The sequence below is a fragment of the Homo sapiens genome, chromosome 4, assembly GCF_000001405.40.
Source record: "Homo sapiens chromosome 4, GRCh38.p14 Primary Assembly".
Taxonomy (NCBI): domain Eukaryota; kingdom Metazoa; phylum Chordata; class Mammalia; order Primates; family Hominidae; genus Homo; species Homo sapiens.
The window spans coordinates 119,070,565-119,075,400 of record NC_000004.12 but is presented as its reverse complement, the minus strand read 5'-3'; the positions used below and the strand labels follow the sequence as shown (position 1 = coordinate 119,075,400).

The window sequence follows — 4,836 nt, the reverse complement described above, 5'->3', positions numbered from 1 at the left end:
CCCTTTGTGGGTAACCCCACCTTTCTCTCTGGCTGCCCTTAACATTTTTTCCTTCATTTCAACTTTGGTGAATCTGACAATTATATGTCTTGGAGATGCTCTTCTCGAGGAGTATCTTTGTGGTGTTCTCTGTATTTCCTGAAACTGAATGTTGGCCTGCCTTGCTAGATTGGGGAAGTTCTCCTGGATAATATCCTGCAGAGTGTTTTCCAACTTGGTTCCATTCTCCCCGTCACTTTCAGGTACACCAATCAGATGTAGATTTGGTCTTTTCACATAGTCCCATATTTCGTGGAGGCTTTGTTCATTTCTTTTTATTCTTTTTTCTCTGAACTTCCCTTCTTGCTTCATTTCATTCATTTCATCTTCCATCACTGATACCCTTTCTTCCAGTTGATCGCATCGGCTCCTGAGGCTTCTGCATTCCTCACGTAGTTCTCGAGCCTTGGTTTTCAGCTCCATCAGCTCCTTTAAGCACTTCTCTACATTGGTTATTCTAGTTATACATTTGTCTAAATTTTTTTCAAAGTTTTTAACTTCTTTGCCTTTGGTCTGAATTTCCTCCTGTAGCTCGGAGTAGTTTGATTGTCTGAAGTCTTCTTCTCTCAACTCGTCAAAGTCATTCTCCATCCAGCTTTGTTCCGTTGCTGGTGAGGAACTGCTTTCCTTTGGAGGAGGAGAGGCACTCTGCTCTTTAGAGTTTCCAGTTTTTCTGCTCTGTTTTTTCCCCATCTTTGTGGTTTTATCTACTTTTGGTCCTTGATGATGGTGATGTACAGTTGGGTTTTTGGTGTGGATGTCCTTTCTGTTTGTTAGTTTTCCTTCTAACAGACAGGACCCTCAGCTGCAGGTCTGTTGGAGTTTGCTAGAGGTCCACTCCAGACCCTGTTTGCCTGGGTACCTGCAGCGGTGGCTGCAGAACAGCAGATTTTCGTGAACCCCGAATGCTGCTGTCTGATCATTCCTTGGGAAGTTTTGTCTCAGAGAAGTACCCGGCCGTGTGAGGTGTCAGTCTGCCCCTACTCGAGGGTGCCTCCCAGTCAGGCTGCTCGGGGGTCAGGGGTCAGGGACCCACTTGAGGAGGCAGTCTGCCCGTTCTCAGATCTCCAGCTACATGCTGGGAGAACCACTGCTCTCTTCAAAGCTGTCAGATAGGGACATTTAAGTCTGCAGAGGTTACTGCTGTCTTTTTGTTTGTCTGTGCCCTGCCCCCAGAGGTGGAGCCTACAGAGGCAGGCAGGCCTCCTTGAGCTGTGGTGGGCTCCACCCAGTTCGAGCTTCCCTGCTGCTTTGTTTACCTAAGCAAGCCTGGGCAATGGCAGGCGCCCCTCCCCCAGACTCACTGCCGCCTTGCAGTTTGATCTCAGACTGCTGTGCTAGCAATCAGTGAGACTCTGTGGGCATAGGACCCTCTGAGCCAGGTGTGGGATATAATCTCCTGGTGTGCCGTTTTTTAAGCCCATTGGAAAAGCACAGTATTAGGGTAGGAGTGATCCGATTTTCCAGGTGCTGTCTGTCACCCCTTTCTTTGACTAGGAAAGGGAACTCCCTGACCCCTTGTGCTTCCCGAGTGAGGCAATGCCTCGCCCTGCTTCGGCTCGCACAGAGTGCGCTGCACCCACTGTCCTGCACCCACTGTCTGGCACTCCCTAATGAGATGAACCCAGTACCTCAGATGGAAATGCAGAAATCACCCGTCTTCTGCATCACTCACGCTGGGAACTGTAGACTGGAGCTGTTCCTATTCGGCCATCTTGGCTCCCAGCTGAATGCATGAGATATTTTGATACACGCTGACAATGTGTAATGATCAACTCGGAGTAATTAGGACATCCATCACCTCATTTAGTATTTCTTTGTGTTAAGAACATTCTAGATATTCTCTTCTATCTATTTTGAAGTATGCAATAAATTATTAATACCTGTATTCACCCTACTATGGTATTGAACACTAGAATTTATTCCTTCTATCTAACTGTATTTTTGTACTCATTAACCACATGCTTTGTACACTTCTTCCCCTTTTCCTTCCCAACTTCTGGTAATCACCATTTTATTCCCTACCTCCAAGAGATCAACTTTTTCTTTAGCTCCTACATATCCGTGAGAACATGCAAAATTTTTCTTTCTGTGCCTGGGTTATTTCATTTAACATAATGTCTTCTAGGCTCATCCATGTTGCTACAAATGAAAGGATTATTTTTAACAGCTGAATAATAGTACTACATTGTGTATATATACTGCATTGTCTTTATTTAGTCATCCTTTGATGAAACTTAGGTTAATGTCATTTCTTGGCTACTGTAAATAATGCTGCAATGAACATGGGAGTACAGTTAGCTCTTCTATGTACTGATTTCCTTTCTTTTGGCTACAGACCCAGCAGTGGGATTGGCTGGATCATACGGTAGTTCCAGTTTTCATTTTATGAGTAAACTCCATACTGTTTTTCGTACTGAATGTACTAACTTACATTCCCACCAATAGTGTATAAGTGTTCCCTTTTCTCTGTATTCTCATCACCATCTGTTATTTATTCCGTGACTAAAATTTTTAAAATAAAATGCCATAAGATCTGGTTGCATCTGTCTGTATGTTTATGTATGTGTACATGTATATATCTATGTTTGTATGATAGGTATACATGATATTTTTCTACATTCAATGGCATTACAAATCTAAAATACCCAAATTGGCTTAGGAGTAAATGAGCACTCAAACAAATTAAGTATTCATAAAACTCTCAGAAAAATAGAAACTTACCAAAATGGTTTTTTGAATTCATACAAATTGCTTAATTGCCTAAGTGAAAACAAATTAATGGAGTTGCAAAAGAATTGTGAAAATTGTATCTTGTTTAGTCAAAGCTGACTGAGATTGGATGGATTTGTTATAAAGTTTTATTAAAAATTAATTTTAGTAGTACATCAATGCAAAAGTAGAATTTGGTATTCTCTGTTAAAAAGTCGAGGGCAGAAACAGAAACAATTAATGTTATTATATCTGCTGACCACTCATGCTGATGAAATTGCATGTTTCCCTTTGTCAGAGAAATTAAAAATCATCATGAGCTTTACCTGGTGAACTTTAAATATACTGACAAAAACTCCAATTTTCTTGGATTAAAATAAAATCTTGCCATTGATACCCTCAAATGATAATAACTTAGAGAAAATGTTAAATTGGGGTAATTTATGACTGAAGAGAAATTTTTGCAGTGAATGCAATACACATATTTTATTTAAATATTTGTGAAATAAATATCAATCTTTTCATGTTAGTAAAAACATTTGTTTTATACTTATGGCTAAAATTCAGTCTTCCTCAGAACTCCTCACTGTACCCCACACCTTTTTTTAATTCTGGAATGACTATTTTTAAATTTTTTAAAAGTTTTTTTAATGATGCATGATAGATGCACATAGTTTTGGGGTACATGTGATAATACATTCAAATAATTTGTAAAGATCGAATCAGTGTACTTTGCATATTTATCACCTTAAATATTTGTCATTTCGTTTTGCTTGAAACATTCAAACTATTCTCTCCAGCTATTTTGAAAAGTACAATAGATTATTGTAAATATAGCCACCCTATTGATCTAACACTACATCTTATTTCTTTTATCTAACTATATATTTGTATTAGTTATTTTTAAATGTGTTTTGTTTTAAGAATAATTCTTAAATTGTTCCATTGCTTTGATTTGGAAGTTTGTCCCCTCCAAAATTCATGTGAAACTTAATCCCCAATGTAACAATATTAAGAGGTGGAGCCTTTAGGAAGTGATTAGCCTTAGGAAGTGATGAGGGTTCACCCTCATTGATGGGATTCGTGTTTTATAAGAAGGCTTGAAGAGGTGAGTTCAACTCTTCCATTCTTTCTGCCATGTGTGGATGCAGCTAGAGGTGCCATATTGGAAGCAGAGTGCAGCTCTTGTGAGATACCAAGTTTCCTAGTGCCTTGATCTTGGACTCCAACTCCAGAACTCAGAAAACATATTTCTGTTCTTCATAGATAATCGAGGTATTCTGTTATAGCAGCAGGAACAGACTAAGACAATTCTATAGCAGAGTAATGATAAAATAGGAACATGTTACAAATTCATATAAGACTTATTTTTGAGAAAAAATATTTATTCATACTGTAAAAAGTGAAAGCTAAATGTATTGTTTGTTTGCAACCTCCTCGGGCAAAGTATCTATAAAATCTGTTCCTATCTGTTCCTAAAAATCTGCTTTTTCCTACATGATAGCATTTTGGAACTTGAACAGTTAATTCTTATTCATTTCTCAGTCTTCCTTTGTATACAAAATGAGAAATTCAGATACATTGCTTATTCAAATGTATTGTAGAAGAACCAGATGAGTTTCATTCGAAATATGAAAATTTTAAACATCACAACCAGAGAACACTGCCGGACATGAAATTTCTGCCACTCTTTTTTGTGATTTTCTTTATCAAGTTCATGCTGAACATGGGGTTTATCTTAGCTGGGCATTGAGTTTTGGTGGTTTTATCACAAAATTAGGATTCTTTTTCCTTTCATCAGCCTTTTATTAAGCATCAACTTCAATAAATCATAGGCATTTTGTATTGCTACTTATCATAGCCATAGTTACTGTAGATAAAACCAGAGAGAGAGAACTTTTGAATTCAAGGATAAAGAGGCATCTAATTGCCATAAACGTCCAAATAATAAAAAGTTATGGAAAAAATATACCCCTTTTATTTATTTTTAAACTATTATTGTTCTCTGTCCTATGTACTGGTCTGGCAGAAAGCTGTGGTATGAATGACATGTAGATCAACAAGAAAAACTACCAAGCCAACCTC

General features: G+C 38.2%; 2 annotated features.

Annotated features, from left to right (window-relative positions):
• Nucleotides 676-1,175: an enhancer, noted in NCBI's record as "NANOG-H3K4me1 hESC enhancer chr4:119995381-119995880 (GRCh37/hg19 assembly coordinates)". NCBI's record gives its function as "activates a minimal SCP1, AML or CMV promoter by ChIP-STARR-seq in naive H9 embryonic stem cells {active_cell/tissue: H9 hESC(naive)}" and the evidence as "EXISTENCE:reporter gene assay evidence [ECO:0000049][PMID:30033119]".
• Nucleotides 1,176-1,677: an enhancer, noted in NCBI's record as "NANOG-H3K4me1 hESC enhancer chr4:119994879-119995380 (GRCh37/hg19 assembly coordinates)". NCBI's record gives its function as "activates a minimal SCP1, AML or CMV promoter by ChIP-STARR-seq in naive H9 embryonic stem cells {active_cell/tissue: H9 hESC(naive)}" and the evidence as "EXISTENCE:reporter gene assay evidence [ECO:0000049][PMID:30033119]".